Source organism: Homo sapiens, chromosome 6, assembly GCF_000001405.40.
Source record: "Homo sapiens chromosome 6, GRCh38.p14 Primary Assembly".
NCBI lineage: Eukaryota > Metazoa > Chordata > Mammalia > Primates > Hominidae > Homo > Homo sapiens.
Window position 1 is genome coordinate 92,583,138 of NC_000006.12, and position 21,596 is coordinate 92,604,733.

Genomic DNA, 21,596 nt, shown 5'->3' on the forward strand with positions numbered 1-21,596 from the left:
AACCTACATATCTTGCACATGTACCCCTGAACTTAAAAGTTGGAAATTTAAAAATAATAAAAATATATATAAAGTGTGTATGTGTAACAAACAGTATTTATCTCTTAGTAGTGAGAATGCCACAGATTTTTATTTTTATCCCTGTGAATTTCTGTATGGTCCAAGTTTTCCTAATGAGTATGTACTAATTTTGTAATAATTTATTAAAGAATATAATTTACTTTTCACAAAAGAATGGAGGACCGTACTCAGTACAATGAAAAAGGAGAAAAATATATGAAACTGGTCTCTGTAAAGAAAAATAGATCGGGAACGACTTGGGGGTGGAGGCAGGCAGGGGAATGCAGGGTAGGAAGAGAACTGGGTGGCAGGAGGGGGATGATGTGTAGAAGAATGGAGTTTTACTAGTAAAAATAATAAATCGGGAGAAAAGTAGAGAACGGGTGAAAGAATGAAAACTAACTTTTGGACCTGACAAGTTTGAGGTGATACTGAGACAACCATGTGCAGTTACATATTCATATAAGATCTAAAGCTTGGGAGTTTTTGGAATATTTGGTGGACATTTTGGTCCATTTTTGAAAATCCCAGTTTTTAGCAATTAATGAAAGTCAATATGTAAGTTGCAAAGTTGGATGTGATACTGTTATAAGAAACATGCTTTTTATTTCATAGTATATATATAAGGAAATAGATTATAGCATGAGTTTTAGGTAAGAAAATTGATAAGTAAGAATGTTTGCATTACAGTTGGGCAAACACACTCCTTCGATCTCGGCTCCTAATAAATAATGCAGAGACTACTTGGCTTTTCTAAGAACATTCATCAAGAGTTAATGCCTTCTCCATTACTAGTTTTTCTTACTTTTCCAGGGTCTCTACCGAGAGGGTAGATACTTTCTCTTCACAATTGAGCTGTGCTTTTTTCTCTTTAGGAACCTACCTACCAGAATTAGCATTCAATCCTGGGCTTTTCATTGTTCATGAATACACCTACTCCCAAAGATGGGAAAGCTTTAAGAGATTACAATGGTTTATTTCTCAAGCAAATAATAGTGAGTGGCTCCTTCCTTGGGAAATGTTGAAGTGGTTTACTTGAAAATTCTAGCTAAGCTTTCTTTTCCCCTGACAATAAAAAAATCATGTATGTATCCATAACTTATAATTCATATAAAGTTAAAACACACCTTAATTGTGTGCACATTGCTCAAGATTTTCAAGCATATTAGGACAAACAGAAGGTGGATAATAACTTTTTTCAGTGGGTACAAGAATGAATATTGAAAATAACTATTTTTCTTTCAATCAGTGCATTGTATTTTGTAGGACATAATAATAATATACAGTGGAGTCATGTTTCTCTGCTCGTCACTTCACATATAGAATCCCAACATAACACCACCCAGCAAGCAATGTTATGTTTGTTTAGGCAGCAATATAATATGTTTCTTGAAGTTTAAAAGGCAACATATTTTGCATTTGTACATTCAATTTTAAATCAAAAATAAAGTTTGAGTGGGAAAAGATTGAATATCAGATCTTGATTATTTTTTGTCACTGGGCCAAAGCTTGGAAATCATCTCAAGTGGGCCTTTATTTCTACCTGCAGCCTCCAAGTATAATTGAATTGCTTGTTTAGGAGCTCTCACACCATTCAGTAAGGGGACGAAGGCAACAACTGACATTATAACCTACCAGGTATGCACAACTTCTCAGTGAATGTAGTAAATTAATGTATAAATAACAGTCAAAATTCAGACATTAGGTCAGAGTTTTATGCATATAAATGTTATATGAAGAAAAAGCGATGTTTTTTATATTTTTTGATAAGTGAAACATATTGAATAACACTTTAGTTTTAGAAAAAAATCTTAAAATTAGCATCTTTATTAGACTATATTTGTAAGTACTATTTTCTTGATTCTTTGTTTAATTAAGAATAGTTATAAAACAAACTTTTATGGTTAATTTTTAAATGTATACAAAGATTTCAATAAAAATACATAAAAAGATTTTTATACAAATGTCTATGTATTTTTGCTTTAATACCCGGTAAAGAATACATATTGCTAATGAACACATTTTATAATGCTGTATATAATTCACAATAATCAGTAGTTGTTTATGATAATAAAGTGAGAATGTATTTTTCGAGGGAACGAGGAATAAACAAAATGTGAGATCAAATACACATTCTTAAATTTCATGGAACACCATTATCTGATTTCTATTGGTGTAGTGTAAAGTACACCTTCTCCTATCCATTTGCTCTCTTACCCACAGTATATATAGTTTACAAATGTTTCAAGACAAGATTGATTGACAATTCACAAATTTTAATAGGTCTACATCCAAATTGGTGCAATAAGAAAAGAACTATGTGCATGGCTCAGGATTCACATTGACAGCATTGTGTAGTTACATATCTTCAGACAAGTGAATAGCATTGTTGGTGACTCTGTGTGTGTGTGTGTGTGTGTGTGTGTGTGTGGTGTGTGGTAAAGCCCACTAGCGTGAAGCAGGACTTTCCTTTCATTGTGTCAGTTCTATTGGATTTTTATCTGTCATCTTAAAAGGCATAACGATCCTTATTTTAAGCCTGTCATTTGGCTTATTATAATTTCTGCAGTGGGTCTATCATTCCCATTGTTGGAAAAATATACAATTCTTTATTTGAAAACAATTTTACAAAGTTTTCACAGTTAAGTGTAAAACTATTATAAATTGAAAAGGCTCCTGGAACACGAATCAATGATACACAGATTAAACATCAGGACAGAGGTGGTTACAGAACATGAATGTTGCCCCAATTGTTTCAGTACTTATGGCAACAGACTTTTCATGTTCTGAGCTGTCAAACCTAATGTAGAGGCAGGTATGTCAGTAGGAATTCCAATGTCTGAAATCTATTCCTAAGCTATTTGGCTTTCTTAAAAAACATTCTAAAAAAAAACCTAGTAACTTTTGGAGAGCACATGGAACTAAGAATAATGCAGGTCTGGTCTCCGAATTAGTTGTTAGAGTTGACGAAGTGTTAACTATGTAGCCTTACGAATTGCTCCATGGTACGAGGTACAAGAAATATTTTTTTGTTTCAAGTTTTTCAAAATCAAATTAAATCTGTCTCTGAGTTTCCACTTGAGAGAGTTCGTGCGGAATCTGATATCAGTTCTGATTGCTCTCACTTTTCTTCCCCTGCCACCCCTGCGTGCCTCCAGACCACCTTGGCTATTCCCAGTGGTCTGTGTGCCTCCCATTCCTCCTTCTGCTAAACAGAGCAGCTGTCCCTGGTGTCATTCACCGTGTTCTGAGCACTGCTGCCTCAGAGAGCATTGCTGCTGCCTTTATTCCATCCTGAGCAATTTCCTCTGATGTCCTGCTTCCCCTGAAATGAGTCTGCTTGGGAGCGGGATTCTGTCCTCTGCCACTTGCAAATCCCTCAAATCCAGACAAATGTCTACTGTACAGAAGGCCAAAGATTTGACAACTCAAGGAAAAAAAAAAATTCCAACCGCCCTTCCTGTAAGGGCAGGAGTGGGAGGGGATTATGTTTTCATCATTATTTTTTGAGTCTACAGCAGAAAAAAAAAGACAATATACCAATTAATTCACCACTGATTCTTTTTGGCACAAAAATCACGTGACTCTTCTATTTTCATCTTGCTTTTTTTCTCACTTCCCCTATGGAGCTGCGACTTTAGTTAAGGAAGAATGCTTCTCTTTCCTTCTTTGGTTGCTGTACAGTTTCCACATTTCTTCTACATATTTTGATCCCTCTGGTCCCTTAAATCTCTGTGACTTGCAGACAGACACTGCTTCCACAGCTCATATAAGAAGGTTTGATTTAGATAAAAATCTGAAAAAAGAATAACTATGCCGAACCTAACATCAAACTGGCTTCTTACTCCTCTTCACTCTCAAGCCCTTAAAAGCAAGCATCCTATCAAACAGTTAAGTCCTGAATTCTTTACTATTTCTTATCACTACTTTGCCAAAGTTGAGGTTACAATATGGGAAAGAAAGAGCAATGATTGCTGCATAGAAAACCAATAGTCAAGATTATGTTGAATAATTAATAATAATAAGGGTCTAAGCGAAGGATTTCACTAGGGGCTGGAACTGTAAGAGACAATCTGATATAGAAAGTTTTTGTTCATTTTAAGCAAGATGAAACATTTTAAAAAATGTCTCTGTACTTCAATTGAAATAAAAAATGTTAAAATACATTTGAAGAGCAGTTTTATTTGTTAGTTATGGTGATGACAAGCTTAAGTCAACATGCAATTAATCTCAATATTGTTTACCTGCTATTGAGGAACAAAGTTAAGAATTATGTGGTTTAGTTTCTGTATTAAGGGCACACATTAAAATTTAGAGTTGAATATGTAGGTGGCAATGAATGAATAAAACATCTTGCCCAATGTGTTATTGGGTTTTGCTCCTAGTCACTTCTTTATAAATTCTAAACTTAGACACCAGCAGTAAAACAAACTTTTCCTTTATTTGTCTAAGCCTAATGCTGATTTACCTTCACTTTAACAAGATGATTCCCATTTTGGCATTAAATCAAAGAAACGAAATTCCACAGGACTTAGGTAGGACTTTATGAAATGCTATTGGATTGTTCTCAAGTGTTGCCTTAATATAAATAACAGTTGAATCACCTAACCTCAAATCCACATTTACCTATCTTAAATAAAAACAATCTTAGAATTTCAAGATTTATCTATAGTGATAGATAAAATAAAACACATCAATTTCTCCAATTCAGTGACTTGAATTTATTTCTGTTGGAAAAGCAAATTTTGCAATTATCTCTTATAGATATAACTACTTTGCCTCTGATAGAATTAGCAAAGTAGCATGCCAGGAGGTCTGAAACTATAGGAAAATGTGGCAAAGAATCAAGAAGTAGCATGGCATTTTTGAATTTAAGGATATTATTAATGATGTGTATATGGATGGAGTCACAAAGACTTCAAGTATTGGTAATAAATGAAAGCTTTGTAAGAAGGACTGAGTAAGGATTGATGATGCTTTAATGAATAAAGAAAATATTGCCTCTTTTTCTCCAGACTAAGGTTTGTTTAGTTTTGTCTCTGCATAATACCCCAGTTAAAAAAAATGTTTTCACTAAGACCCAGGTATGGGCTAAATTGATTTATGGCGAGAGCAGAAACCAAGATACTGGTGCCAAAATAGTGGTAAGATAATAAAACAGTAAGCTTGAACGGAATCCAGATTGCTCAAATATGATTTGAAAGGAAACTGTTGATAAGCTAAGATAGACCACAAAGGCTGGTCACAGGTTCCACTATTAGCAAGAATTATGGGACTCAGAGTCATTTTTAGGTTGATTTCACTCGTTTTCTATCTGCTCATTCAAATGGAATACCCCAAATTGAGAATATACAAATAGTCCCCATACCTTGTGTTCCTTGTTTGTTATGAAGAATGTTTTAAATTCAGTTGTCAATCCACAGCTTTGCAGAGCACAGAACCATTAGGCTTACTGCCACTTAGGCTAGTGAAGGCAGCGCCAGCATACAGTAACTGCCATACCTCATAAAGAAATCCTTGCCTCCATAACGCTACATATTTCTGAGTTCTAGTTCTACTGCTTCATTGGGCATACAAAATATCTGACTATGGATCCCCACAGCTGTTTCTCATAATAAAACAAGACTCAAATGTTTTCATATTTTGGAAATACTCTCCTCACAAGAAGAGTAGCTGGACTTCAGAGTGCCAATTCTCATCCCCCGAGGTTTGACTTATTTTGACACCTTTTAATGATCAATTTCATTTCACCATTGTTCGCTGCATTACAGCACAATCCAGACCCAAGCATAGATTGTGGCTTCTCCCTTTATGTCCCACTTTGCAGTTTAAGTCAAGCTGGAATATCTAAAACCTAGTGATATAGAAAGGGGAATAAATATGAAGAGAATATGCATCTTAACGAGGTGCTTTACAAAATGCAGGTTACTACTGTCACTTTGTCATTCATTCCAAGGGCACTGTCTCTTTAATCCCAGCCTGCTCCGTGTGACACTGGTCATCTTCCTCCGTTGCCAAAAATTCCCTTCAACGTAGGTAGACCACTCAAAGTCCAGACTTCAAAACAAAAGCCGAGATAAATTACAGGATTCATCTGACAAACCCCTTAGTTCCTCTGTGCTTTGATTGCCTCACCTGTAAAATGGCATGGAATTAAATAAACATACTCTTCAGAAAGAAATAAAACAAGCCATGACTAATTGAAGATTTTGGATGGTACAAGCAGATTCATCATTAAAAATAATGCTAAAAGTGTTTTAATGTAGTCAACTTCAAAACATTTGTTTAATATGAACATTCTATGCTTAATGTTAAATATTAAGCAAATATAAACTCAGAACTACATAACAGTCTTTTAAGTAGAGACTACCATCATCAGCTAGTATATTCACAGGCAGAGACAGCCACTGAGAACCAAAAGGGCAGTTGTCATGCCCGGAATCATGCGGAGCTAAACTTTAGGAAAAACACATAACCATTTTACATAGACAATAGAAGGTGAGATGACTGCAAGGTGGTCAGTCAATCTGCCACTGTGTATAAACTGCAAGAACTTGGATAGTCAGAATGTTGGACTTACCTTTCAATCTCTGGTCATAGATAAAGCCTTGCTTCTCTGGCTATGATATTCTATTTGGGGTAGAGCTGGGAGACAGGACCATTGGGTTTCTGACTTCTTCTGGGTCTGAGGCTTCCATCCTCTCAGGCATGTCCCTCTGACCCACTTACTTCAGCACTAAAATGACATATTCCTAGTCCCTGGAGTACTGATTGATTCCCTCTCCCTGGCACCACTCTCTTTCCTCAACCCAAATATTCTAGAAAAGTCAGCACCTGCTGCAAGGACCAACTTGTTAAGCAGCACTTTGTTCTAACATCTACCCTCTTGAACTTCTGGGATTCTACTCAGAAAGTGTTGGACTAAATGAGCACAGTCAGTAAGTTCTGAGCAAACATTACATGTGGGAATTCCATTCCCATTTTGTCACTTACTGGCTGTGATGCCTAGAGCATACTTTGACCTCTCTGACCTCAAACGTCATCATCACAAAACAGAAAATAACAGTAACTATCTAATAGTGTTATGGTGATGAAATAATGCCATGGAAATGATGCTAGACAAAATTCTTAGCCTTGTGTCTAACAGAGAGTAAATTCTCAATCAATGATAGCTAACATTTTCTAGCAGAATAAAAAGCCCTATCTCAGTGGTTCCTCTTTATTTAGCATCCCTCCTTCACCTCCTTTGGTCCAATGGTCCAGGTACTTATGTTTTTATGTTTTAAGCTACAGTGTGAGTTGGGAAATGATAACTAGAGTCATTATCTAACCTCACAATATCACACAGAGGTTTGCCTTAAAAATATTAACTTCTATAAATTTATTCCCAAAGCATAAACATGCCATTTTATTTTTTTGACTAAAAGGAAACATAAGCTAGTACCACAGCCTGTCTGGCATTTTTTAAATGCATAAACATGTGTTTACTATTGTGTAAAACAGCTGTAATTTGACTGTCATTGATTAATTCTAGTTATGTTTGGTTTATGTCCTTCATGCACAGTCACAAAGAATTTACTTATATGCTTTTGTATGATTTTTTCAATTGTCCTAAGAAAGCAATTATGTGTGGAAATTTTCTTCTTCCTTTTAACTTCATTATTGTTTAGAAAAGCAATTGAATCACTCAAAGTGGTTATTGATTCTATAATCTACCAAATTCATGAAGATGGTATTATATCTTTAAATGTGTCAAAATTTAGAAGGAGATTAACTGCTTCAAGTCATCATTTTATTGCTATTTTAGTGCATTTACAAAAGTCTACTGATGTTTCTGATGCTATAAATATAGGATGTGAGAAATATTACTATTCCAACTTTAAAAGAAAGGAAAATTAAAGAACTTGGTGAATCAAAATGAGTCACTGGGGACTGCTAAGAAAAGAGTATACGCAGACATCATTTTGGTACTTTTTTCCCCTTTCTAATGTCTTTTCTCTCATCTTTTTTCTTCCTGAATTCATTTATTGCTACACCTTCTTATATATTTCTTTCTTTTTTTAAATCATCATAGCTCAGTATTTTTCTAAAAATCAAATTGCCATTTTAATAGTGATTTAAGAAAAACTCCAAGGTATATGTATATAATACTATTTTAATGACTTTTCTGTTCATTTTCTGATAGAGAAACTCAATTTTTATAAAGACTGTAATTGTGTTGATCTGGCTACTGTTGAGCTCATAAAAGTAAGATTCTTGGGTAGCTTGCAAATTAATATGCCAGTCCAGATTTTTTTGGCATAATAAGAACATCTTTTATGTGTCAGAACAGGTTTTGATTATAACTAAATAAGTGAAAGAACAAGTATGTTGATAGGGTGACCTTTATCAAAAAGTTTGAGATTAATGATCCAAAGTACTTTTAGAGCAGGCAAAAGTTAAATAAGAATAAAATGTGTGAGTCATAGGACTACCTGTCTGTATAATTCAAATAAATAGCAATGTTTATGTTTGAACAAAAATAGCAATTTCAAAAACAAAATGAAAACAAAAGTCCATAAATATGAAATGTCCTCACTTAATGCTTTTTTTTCCCCTGCTAAGAATAATCAAGATTACTATTTGGCTAACTCAGGCCTTATAATCACAGATATTTTTGTGCCATAAGAAATTAGGGCATTTGGAAACACAGCATTTATAATGGCTTATAGCTAGCTCATAGAAAGCATTCTTTATTTTTTCATTTATTGTTAGTGATAGCAAACAGTATAATGTTCATTTTGCAAATGTAATATGAACAAGAAATTAAAACAGACTTATTTGTATGTTTTGGTCAAATTTTGGATAGTATATTCTGGTATCATAGTAGAATGTAACATTTTCAAGGGAGACTATGTCCAGGAGACATTGTACTTAAGCCCCTTTCCAAGGAAATAAAATACAATACAACTCTATTTAAAAATAAAATATTAGAAACTCCCTGTCTGCATATTATTGAATTTGGTTTTGTAAATGATGCAGGAAAGCAGTTTACCTCAACATCTTATAGATCTTTTTTGTGGAACTGTTTTTGTTAATTTTTTTTCATGTTATACTTTGTATCTGGTATGCTTTTCCCCCCCAACTATTTCCTCACCATTTCTCTCTCTTTCTCCATGCACTTTCATTTTTAAAGGCAAAATCCAGTGCCATATCTTTTATAAAAACTTATTTGAACTTCCTCCTGTCATATATATTTACTTATTTTAATTATTCATTGTAATTTATTCATATTCTCTCTTAGAGTGCTATTAGACTCATAAGAATCATCTCAGTGCCTTACGAGATTACAGTGTTTCATTGGAGTGCAATGTTTAGGAGGACGTAAGCCTTGGTACTTTGTTTATGGCAGGTAATCAGTACTTATTGAGTGCAGATGACATAGTGCAGATCATACCTCATGGTCTGGAGGCTTTGCCTGAATCTATCATTATCTTGTATGTAGTAATAAATGAATAACAAAAACTTATTACATGTATGCATGCATATACTTACACAATCACTTACAATACTGACAATTTGGTACTGATGACAGTGTTAGGTAGGTAGTTATTTAATTTGGTCACTGAAACTGATGAAATTACTTCTTGACTGTCATTATTTTAACATTTTATTCATAGTAATTTGAATTGGTTTCTTAAAGTTTATTTAACAAGTATTAAAATTCAGTACTAAAATACAGTCATGAGATTTTACTATATATCAGGACAATGCTTCAAAACAATCTATGACAAACTAAATGGTAATCAAGCATATACTATATTTGTTCTTATGTCCAGTATGGTATTTGGCCTAATTTCCATAGGTTTCACATAAATAGAAATGGAAAAAAATTATGAATGTAAAATATATGAATTATTTTTAATTAATACTAGTACACCACCACAATTACCGGAAGTTGTAAATATTGAATAAAATGTAATCTACTTTAAACTTTCATGAAACTATAGAAATGTCAACCTTGAGTCTTCAATAGTTATGCCTAAATAGAATATTGAAATTTCTACTTCGGACATAGTCTTCATTGCTATAGCAATAGTTTAATCATAAAGTCAGTCACAAGATAGAATTTTATAACTATGGACACATGGCTACTCCCTTAATTCATTCTCCGTTCCTTCCAAGTATGCAAGGACAGTGCCAGAACCATAATGAGAAAATGTTAATGAAAGAACATCATGCAAGAACACAGGCTATTATCTCCACAGGATTCTCAGAGTTATCTGAAGTCACAGAGTGGTATAAATTCTGTAACACAGAGAAGCTGAAGTACTGCTGAGAATGTTCCATATTACCAATAGAAAATAGGACAATGGAAACCAGAATCCATACTTTATCTATATCATCTGCACTCAATTAATACTGAGTCAAATTCTTGTTTTATTTTTTTCCTTATGACAAATAAACAATTAATTGGATGTTTCCATTTTGTGGAACTGGGAGTTTTATTCATATTGAAATTCACAATCATGGCTTTTCATATGGAAATTTCTACTTCTCAAGTATAGAAGGATAAAAATTTAGCTTTTACTATTTCAAACTTTGTAAAGAGAGAACAGATCTTACTATTACATAACGCATAATGCATCCTTTACAAAGATTTCAGATTGGAAGGAAAAATTATTTACCAAAACTATTGTGATGATTTCTTTGAAAACAAGGGCAATATTTTATAATTGAGTCATAATGGATCTAAATATCTATAAAAGATATCTTAAGTCATATGCTTAATATTATGTTGTATAATGTATTATTAATAGTATCAATATACCACTTACTAGTCCCCTAATTTATCTCCTGTCTCATAATCATGCTTTAGCTTAAGCTTCCTTTATCCTGGATAGTGCATTACCCACACTGTCTTAAAACTATTAGCTATGTCTTATTATATTACAGTAATGAAATAAAGAGTTATTAACTAATGAATACAGAAGAATGGCAAGCCTATGTTTTAAGTTGTTTTCTTAACTTTATATTTGCATATTGCACATTGAATAGTAGACACTTAAAATCATACCAGAATTGTTGGAATGAAAGGGCATGTAAAAGTCATTTAGCCAAGCAATTTATAACTTTACTCTACCAGCAGAAATTTTTTATTTAAATAAAATTGGATATAGAACCCCAAAATACAAAACAGATGGGAAGTGTAGCAGCTCTGGTCTAAGAAAGAAGCAAGCTTGGCCTCATCCCCTGCAGTAGAACTCTGTAGTGCCCCAGCTTGGTGACCGTTGATCTGGTTAATTTGCCCAATCTGTTCAAAGTCTTTTTAAAACCATTTGTTTGACAGATGATAATACTGCCTCTTCTACAATATTTCCAGAAACAAAGGACTTGGTAACTTATAACAGAGGCAATTTTGAGGGGTAAGGAATGTATCCATTATTATAAAAAGTGATGAAATATATTAAATAAATAATATAAAATAAGAATGTATCATATAGTAAACATCCAAATAACATTTTCCCTTTATCTTATTCTTGTTATCTTTGTTGGTTATTTTGTAAAATAATCCTTCAAATATTTGCTGACACTTAGCCCTATACCCTAGATCACTCTAGGCAGAAATAAACTTCAATAAGATTGTTAAAACTTTCCTTCTGGAGGAGTGAAGTATGTTCTGGTCCCTGCTTTGATATCCCTCGTTGATGCTGTGTTCAGGAGAAAGGGTAGCTCTGTCCTTTGGTTGTGGCCATGGAACAAAATGAAATCATATAGCAAAAGGTACATGAAGTTTGAGTTCTGATTAAAGCAGCTCCAGGGAAATATAAAGTGACTAATATTTTCAAGTCTTGGGGTCAGACAGAGATTGAAAACCAGACTCAAAGCAAGGGGGACTGAAAAGGGAAATAGATAAGACAAAGAAAAACACTTTGGGAAACAAAATATATAGAGATCAAAAGTTAAATCCCTGTAAAGAAGGGGAAAAACATGTTATGAAGGACTTCATCCCATGAAGAAGGAACATGCTAATTAAGTATGATAATATGTTTATATGTTCCATCCACTCTGAGAATCATCAGTGTAACAATAAGAGTCTTTCCAATCCATATAGTTATCAGTAGTCATACTTGCCACCCACTTGCTTTGGATAGTAACTCTGACATTGAAGTTGTCAGCCCAGTACTTTTCAATCTGCAGTAGTGCCATTTGTACAAATAAAATATTTCCCATCTATAACCCCAATCCTCCCTTGTCATGAATTCTCAACTGATTTACTGGCATCAAGTCCTGTTCTATCTACTTTCATTTATGCCACCATTGCTTTCTCAGGAAGTGAGGTTGGAGCTTACCTCATACGGAGAAAAATACCAAAAGTGGTTATATTTTCAATATTTAAGAATAAGCAAACAAAAATAACAACAGAAAATCCAGGAGCAATTTAAGTCTTGTGAGAGACACTGGGACACAGGAGAAAGACCAAAGCACAGATGAGGATGGGGAAGAGCATCATTTCATCAGTGTTAGCACTGGTACCTATGGAACATTAACTATCTATTAGGTCTCTTGCTTGACTCCGAGTTTTGGACATTAAAATACCTATTTTAATTATTAATACTCTATACATTTTATAAGTGAGTAAATAGAATTGAGTGCTGGAGAAGTCCAATATCACAGAGCTAGTAAGTGGTAAAAAGCCAAAATTATAAAACAGTCTGACTTCCGAAGCTCAAACTTTCAATTAAGACTTTTAACTTTGAAAAATGAGCTAATACCCAAAACAGAAGAAAATTGTACATAACTTACATTTTCTCGTCTGAAAAAGTAAAAATATTTGAAATCTAAAATAAGAGATAAAAATTGATAAAATAAAAAACTTAAAGAAAGTGGGACCTGGGGGAGAGGCAGGCTGGAAAAAAGGGAGGAGAAAATATAAGTATAGGCTATAAAGGCAAAAGCATAATTATGAATTGCCAGCTATATTAGGAATGCTTAAATCAGAACTGGTATGCATAAACTTAAGTATATGATAAGGAGAGCTGGGAAGATGTTCCAGGATGTAAGAAATGGGTAAAAGTTTTTTTAAAAAATGGGAGATTTAGTACTAAAAAGAAATGAGCTATCAAGCCAGGAAAAGCATGTGGTACTTTAAATGCATATTACTAAGTGAAAGAAGCCAATCTGAAAAGGCTACATACTGTATCATTCTAACTATATGGCATTCTGGAAAAGCAAAACTATAGAAACAGTGAAAACATTAGTGTTTGCTGGAGGATAATGGGGGCCAGGATGAACAGGCAGAGCACAGAGGATTTTTAGGCAATGAAAATACTCTATAGACTATAACGGGGAATGCATGCCATTATACATTTGTCCAAAGTCACAGAATGCAAGTACAACACCAAGAGTGAGCCCTAATGCAAACTATAGGCTTTGGATGATAATGATGTATCAATGTAGGTTCATTAATTGTTATACCTGCACTATACTGGTGGGGGATATAGGTAATAAGAAAGGTACAGGTAGAGGACAGAAGGTATAAGGGAAATCTCTGTATTTTTCTCTCAATTTTGCTATGAATTTAAGATTGCTCTAAAAAATAAAATCTTTAGTAAACGAATTTTAAAAATCAGAGATAAAGAAGACAGAAAACAGAGATAAATAATGTAAATTTAATTCTCACATTTGACAAGAACCAACAGAACAGAAATGATAATCAAGAACATTATAGGAGATAGGTCACCTGAAACAAAAAAAATTGAATAATACAGTATGAATTCTTCATCATATATCATAAAATTAAATTAAATAGGAATTTAGACACACCAGAGTAAATTATTTTACCTGAGTCACCCAAAATAGTACCCAAATCAGACTGACTTGACTTTATTTGAAAGAAAAAGTTTTGAGTTCCAAAGGTTATATAACAACCATTAATTGCCATTAATATAGAAAAGAAAAGATAACGATAGATGTAAAAAGGCTGAAAAAGTAAAATTTAACTGCACAGTTTTCTTGAATCAAAGGAACATTTTTAGTCATAGAGAATCAAAATAAGGACAGCAGAACCAGATGAATAATAATACGATAGGATCAATAATGAGAATTGAAATCATTCAATGTGAAGTTGAGCCTAATTTATTATTATAAATATGAATAAAACTATGCCATTGTCAAAAATAATTCTATTTATTGCATAAATATAGTAGCATGATGAGAATTAGTTTGGAGTATATTCTTCCATATGTTAGTTACAAATGTCTGGAATTCAGAAAATCTAGTAAACCCAAAGCATATTTATATTCTCACATTTGCTAGGAGGAAATCAATAGATGGTGTTTATATTTTGAAGTCTATATTAGAGAAGTACAGATGTGTATAATCCGTTGTTAAGGAAGTGACTAGTTGAAATAAATAAGTAAGGATACATATGTCCTTAATCACTAGAAAAAAAAGTGAAATAAGGAAAGAAGATTGAGAACTACTGACAACACAAAAAAGAAAAAGCACACTGAGGCATAAAAATCACAATATATAAATGAAAATAAAATTGTATAAGTAATATTCAAGTTTAAAAACAATCTTAGATCTGGTTCAAAAATATAAATTGGGAAGAAAAGCAAAAGATTAACAGTAGAAAGATGGCTATTAGGAAGCCAGGCAAATATTTTTTAATGTCAATTTTCATTATCGGCATAGGTATTACAAAATAAACACTGTCAAATAATTTTTGTGTGTCACCTAGTTTTTTTCTAGTCTATGCTGTGATAACAAGAAAATGCTAGTGGTTTACAAAATCTGTATTGCATGTGAAAAATGATTCTGCTATTCCACACTTGGCTTCATCATTCTAAGGTGCAGAATAAAGTAGCAGACCTTATCTGTAACACGTTCTTGTGCTAGAGGGAAAAAGTGTACGGGAGTAATACAACAGCTCTTAAAGCTTTTGCTCAGTTCTTAACGCTCAGTTTTCATTGCTGAAGCAAGTTACACGGTCAAGTCTTAAATACATAAGTTGGAAAAGGCACACAAAAGTGCCCACTGGAAGAGGCACTGCACATGAAAAAGCAAGAATCACTCAAAATCAACTACTCATTGGTAAACAACAAAATCATTTAATACCCACCCACCCACCCACACACACACACACACACACACTTTCAATAATGGAGATCATAACACACTGCACTGCACAACACATGGTAAAGAGAGTGAGTGAAGAATCCTCTTACCTAGGAGGCAGTAAATAATTTTGGACAGTAATAAAACTTCTCATAGTAGTAAGAACGTCAAAAAAAGGCAAATGTCATGAAAGGTCAGTTATCAATATGTATCAAAGTCTTTACAGTTCTTCAACCTCTTGAACTAGTAGTTATTTTCCTGGAATTTGATCCAAATGGAAACAATAATGGGATAGATATTCATAAATAATGATTTAGCATAATTTAGGAGTAAATTAAAATATTATTCATAGTAATAGATCCTTAGCTAGATAAATTATATTTTCATGTGACTGGTTAGCCTTTAAATTTATTTAATGATATACAATATCATATATATATATACACACACACACACACACACACAAATGTTCCCTGATATCTGTTAAGTGTGTGTGTGTGTGTCTGTGTGTGTGTGTGTTTTCATCATCAAAGAGATTTGTAAGTTTACCAATGAGTAGTTGAATTTGGATTGATTCTTGATTTCTCATTTTTTATCTTCCTAATACAAAATTATTTGTTTTGCAAGTTGGAATTAACAAATAAGGGGATCATGTTAGTTATTCAATAAATAATGAGTTTAAATCAACAAAGATAAAAAAGGCAAAGAAGGGCGTTACATAATGGAAAGGGGTTCAGTTCAACAGGAAGACCTTGTTGTTCTAAATATAACTGCACCCAACACAGGAGCACTCAGATTCATAAAGCAAGTTCTTACAGGCCTACCAAGAGATTTAGATAAACACACAATAGTGGGAGACTTTAATACCACACTCTCAGTATTAGACAGATCATCAAGGCAGAAAACTAAGATATTTGGGGCCCCAACTCAACACTTGACCAAATGGACCTAATAGACATCTAAAGAACTGTCCACTCCAAAATAACAGAATATACATTCTTCTCATCTGCACATGGCACATACTCTAAAATCGATCACCCAATCAGCCATAAGAAAATCCTCAGCAAATTAAAAAATAATAATAATACCAAAGACATTCTCAGACCACAAAGCAATAAATATAGAAATCAATACTAAGAATATCACTCAAAATCATGCAACTACATGGAAATTAAACAACATGCTCCTGAATGACTTTTGAGTAAACCATGAAATTAAGGCAAAAATCAAGAAATTTTATGAAAATAATGAGAAGAAAGATACAGCACACAGAATCTCTGGGGCACAGCTAAAGCAGTGTAAGAAGGAAAGATTATAGTGCTAAATACCCACATCAAAAAGTTAGAAAGATCTCAAACTAGCAACCTAACATCACACCTAGAAGAGCAAGAGAAACAAGAGCAAACCAACCCCAGAGCTAGCAGAAGATAAGAAACAACCAAAATCAGAGCTGAACTGAGGGGGATTGAGATGTGAAAAAGCATACAAAAGATTAATGAGCCCAGGAATCGATTTTTGATAGAATAAATATGATCGATAGACTACTAGCTAGACTAATGAAGAAAAAAAGAGAAAAGAACCAAAACCCCACAATCAGAAATGACAAAAGGGACATTACTGTTGACCTCACAGATACACAAAAAACCCTCAAAGGCAATTAGAATACTTCTATGCACACAAGCTAGAACACCTAAAATAAATCCATAAATTCCTGGAAATATACCACTTCCCAAGACTGAACCAGGAAGAAACTGAATCCCTGGACAGAACAATAATGAGTTCTAAAATGGAATCAGTAACAAAAAGCCTACCAACCAGAAAACCTGAGGACCAGACGTATTCACAGTCAAATTCTACCAGATGTATAAAGAAAAGCTGGTAACATTCTTACTGATACGATTCTAAAAACTTGAGAAGGGATTTCTCTCTAACTCATGATATGAGGCCAGCATCATTGTGATATCAAAACCTGGCAGAGACACAACAAAAAAGAAAGCTTTGGGCCAATATCCTCGATGAACTTCGATGCAAAAATTTTCAGCAAAACACTAGCAAACTGTATTCAGCAGCACATCAAAAAGCTAATTCACCATGACCAAGTAGGCTTTTTCCCTGGGATGCAAGGTTGTTCAACACACACAAATCAATAAATGTGATTCATCACACACACAGTACTAAAGGGAAAAACCACATGATCACTTCAATAGATGCAGAAAAGTCTTTCAATAAAATTCAACATGCTTTATATTAAAACCCCTCAACAAATCAGGCATTGAAGGAACATACTTCAAAATAGTAAGGGCCATCTATGACAAACCCACAGCTAACATCATACTCAATGAGCAAAAGCTGGAAGCATTACTCTTGAAAAATAGCACAAGAAAAGAATGTCCTCTCTTACCACTCTTATTCAACATAGTTCAGAAATTTCTAGCCAGAGCAATCAGGCAAGATAAAGAAAATAAAAGCTATCCAAAGAGAAATAGAGGAAGTCACACTGCCTCTATTTGCAAATGATATGATTCTATACCTAGAAAACCACATAGTTTCTGCCCAGAAGCTCCTTAAGCTGAAAAACAACTTTAGCAAAGTCTTAGAATACAAAATTAATGTACAAAAATTACTAGCATTCCTATATACCAACATCCAGGATCAGAGCCAAATCAAGAATGCAATCCCATTCACAACAGACACAAAAAGAATAAAATATGTAAGAATGCATATAACCATGTAGGTAAAAGATCTTTACAACAAGAATTACAAAAAAATTCTCAAAGAAATCAGAGATGACACAAACAGAAAAACATTCCATGTTCATGGATAGGAAGAATAAATATTAATATTCCTATCAAACTACCAATGACATTCCTCACAGAACTAGAAAAACCTATTTTAAAATTCATATGGAACCAAAAAAGAGCCTGAATAGCCAAGGCAAAACAGAGCAAAAAGAACAACGCAGGAGACAATATGCTACGTAATTTCTAATTATACTACAAGGCTGCAGTAACCAAAACAGCATGGTAATGGTATATATACCAAAAAAAAAAGTGCTTAGGCCAAAGGAACAGAATTGAAAGCCCAGAAATAAGGCTGTACACCTACAACCAACTGTTCTTTGACAAAGCTGACAAAAGCAATGGGAAAAGGACTCCTTATTCAATAAATGGTGTGAGATAACTGGCCAGCCATATGAGGAAGATTGAAACTGGACCCCTTCCTTACAACATATACAAAAAAAAAAAACTCAAGATGGATTAAAGACTTAAATGCAGAACCCCAAACTATAAAAACTGTGGAAGACAACCTAAGAAATACCATTCTTAACATAGGACCTGACAGATTTTTCAATAAAGAAGCCAAAAGCAATTGTAACAAAAACTGACAAATGGGATATAATTAAACTAAATAGCTTCTGCACAGAAAAAGAAACTATTAACAGAGTAAACAGACAACCTACAGAATGGAGGAAAATTTTTGCAAACTATTTGAGAAAGGTCCAATATCTTGAATCTATAAGGAACTTAAACAAATTAATAGGAAAAGAACAACTTCAATCAAAATTGGGCAAAAGACATGAATAGACACTTTTCAAAAGATGATAAGCACTTGGCCAACAAGCATATGATAAAAAGTACTCAACATCAATAATTATTAAATAAATGCAAATCAAAACCATGTTGAGATATCATTTCATACCTGCCAGAATGGCTACTATTAAAAAGCCAAAAATAACACACTGGTGAGGTTGCAGAGAAAAGTGAATGCCTGTACACTGGTGGTGGTAATGTGAACAGTTGTCATTGTGGAAAGCAGTGTGACAATTTCTCAAGGAACTTAAAACGGAAACACTATTTGATCCACAATCCCATTATTGAGTATATATACAAAGGAATATAAATTGTTCCACCATAAAGATACATATGTATGTTCATTGCAGCACTACTCACAATAGTACAGATAAGGAGTCAACCTAAATGTTCAACAATTGTCAACTGGATAAAAAAATGTGAGACATATACACCATGGAATACTATACAGCCATAAGAAATAACAAGATTGTGTCCTTTGCAGCAACAAAGATGACACTGGAGGACATTATCCTAAGCAAATTAACACAGGAACACACAATCAAATATTGCATATTCTCACTTACAATTGGGAGTTAACATTGTGTATACATGTACACAAGGAAGGGAACAATAGACACCAGGGCCTACTTGAGGGTGGAGAGTGGGAGGAGGGTGAAGATTGAAAAAACTACTTAAGGGGTACTATGCTTATTACTTGGGTGACAAAATAATCTGTACACCAAACCCATGTCACAGGCAACTTACACATACAGCAAACCTGCATATGTATGCTTAAGCCTAAAATAAATATCAAATAAATAAATAAATAGTTGGATAAATAAAGGCATAAATACATGAAGAAAAGGCATTGAAATTGTGTTTAAAAATAACCAGAGTTACATATGTAAAATGCACAAATTTCTTACCACAGAATATCATAAAACAAAATGTGATTTGATTGCCAACAGTCAAGGGACTACATTGACATACGCTAAGCTATATCTTCAGACAGCTTGAACAACAATACACAGTGATACTTATCAAGTGCTTTCCATTTCCCAGGCATTGTGTTAGTATCTTTACACACAATGACACATTAAAGCTTCTCAACTATCCCATATATTAGTTATTTCTATTACAATTCTCTTTCTAAAAAATTAGCAAACTGAGGAAGCTCAGAGAGATAATAACTGTTTTCAAGTGTTTGATATTTAGTGAGTAATACAGCAAGAATTCTAAATCAGGCAGTTGATTCCAGAGAGTTGCTGAAACATTGTCCTAAATTTACTCATGTTCTTTTCAGGGAAGGTCTCCAATCATTTAATCTTGATATTATTTAACACTTGGCAAAAATCGCTTCTGGGGTAGCTTCTTACAAGTGAATTATCTCATTAATTAAATATTTTTTCCCTAATTTTATACTTCAAAGTTATTTTTCAAATTTTAAAATTGTGGTTATCTTGGTGCCACACATGTGCATATTGCCTCCACATTCATTCATCGATTCTTAACTCTCACATTCTACTTGTAACTTCACTTTATAGACCTCTTCTAGCCTTCCCCATACCAAAAAAAAAAAAAAAAAAAAAAAAAACCTGATGGATTTCATCAATACCAGGCCCATCCTACAAGAAGTACTAATGGGAGTACATCAACCAGAAAGAAAAGGACATTAATGAGCAGTAATAATCACATGAAGGTACAAAACTTACTGGTAATAGAAACGACACAGAAAAACACAGAATACTATAGAACTGTAACTGTGGTGTGTAAACTACCCTTATTCTAGGGGACAGTCTAAAAAAATCAGAAATAATAATAACAATAACTTTTCAAGATATACTCAGTACAATAAGATATAAGTGAAAACAACAAAAAGTTAAAAAGCTTGGAAATAAAGTTAAGGCAAATTTTTATTCTTTTTCTTTTTGCTTGTTTGTTTATGGAAACACTGGTAAGTGGTGAGGTCAAAATTATTGTTTATAAGATAGTATTTACAAGACTCATGGTAACCTCAAACCGAAAAACATACAATAGATACACAAAAATTAAAATGAAGAAACTAAATCATATCACCAGAGAGTCATCTTCACTCAAGAAAGACAGGAATGAAAGAAAGAAGAAAGAAAAGAATACAAAACAACCAGAAAACAAATAACAAAATCGCAGGAGTAAGTCCTTAATATCCATAATAACATTGAATGTAAATAGACTAAATCCTCTAATCAAAAAACATCAACTGGCTGAATGGATGAAAAAAAATAAGACCCATTGATCTGTTGCCTACAAGAAAGACATTTCACCCATAAGGACACACATACACAAAATAAAGGGACGGAAAAAGATATTCCATGCCAATGGAAATCAAAAAAAGAGCGGGTGTCACTATACTTACATCAGACAAAATGATATCAAGACAAAAACTCTAAGAAGAGACAAAGAAGGTCACTATATAATGCCAATGGGGTCAATTCATCAAGAAGTTATAACAATTTTAAGTATACATACACCAAACACAGGGGCAACCAGATATTTAAAAGATATATTATTAGAGATAAAGAGAGGGATAGGCCCCAGTGTAGTAACAGATGAAGACTTTCAACAGCTCACTTTCAGCAATGGACAGATCTTCCAGATAGAAAATTAACAACAACAACAAAAAAATCAAACTTAATCTGAAATATTGAACAAATTGATCTAGTAGATATTTACAGAACATTTAATCCAATAACTGCAGAATACACATTCTTTTTCTCAGCACATGAATCATTCTTAAGGATAGATCATATGTTAAGTCATAAAACAAGTCTTAAAACAGTCAAAAAAAATGGAAATAATATCAAGTATCTTCTTCAACCAAAA

The 21,596-nt window shown here is 33.4% G+C and overlaps 1 long non-coding RNA gene across 2 annotated transcripts in view; it reads right to left on the reverse strand.

Moving 5' to 3' along the window:
- Window positions 1–1,856: 1,856 nt before the first annotated feature.
- The window catches only part of LINC02531 (long intergenic non-protein coding RNA 2531), a 138,833-nt gene continuing 119,093 nt past the window's right edge, over window positions 1,857–21,596 (reverse strand). The window contains exons 1-2 of one of the 2 annotated variants that reach the window (NR_189296.1): window positions 6,641–6,968; window positions 1,857–6,195 (exon numbers count right to left, since the gene is read on the reverse strand). This is a non-coding gene — a long non-coding RNA (long intergenic non-protein coding RNA 2531). Of the gene's footprint in view, window positions 6,196–6,640; window positions 6,969–21,596 lie in introns of those variants that run through there. The other variant, NR_189297.1, reaches the window with a different exon arrangement.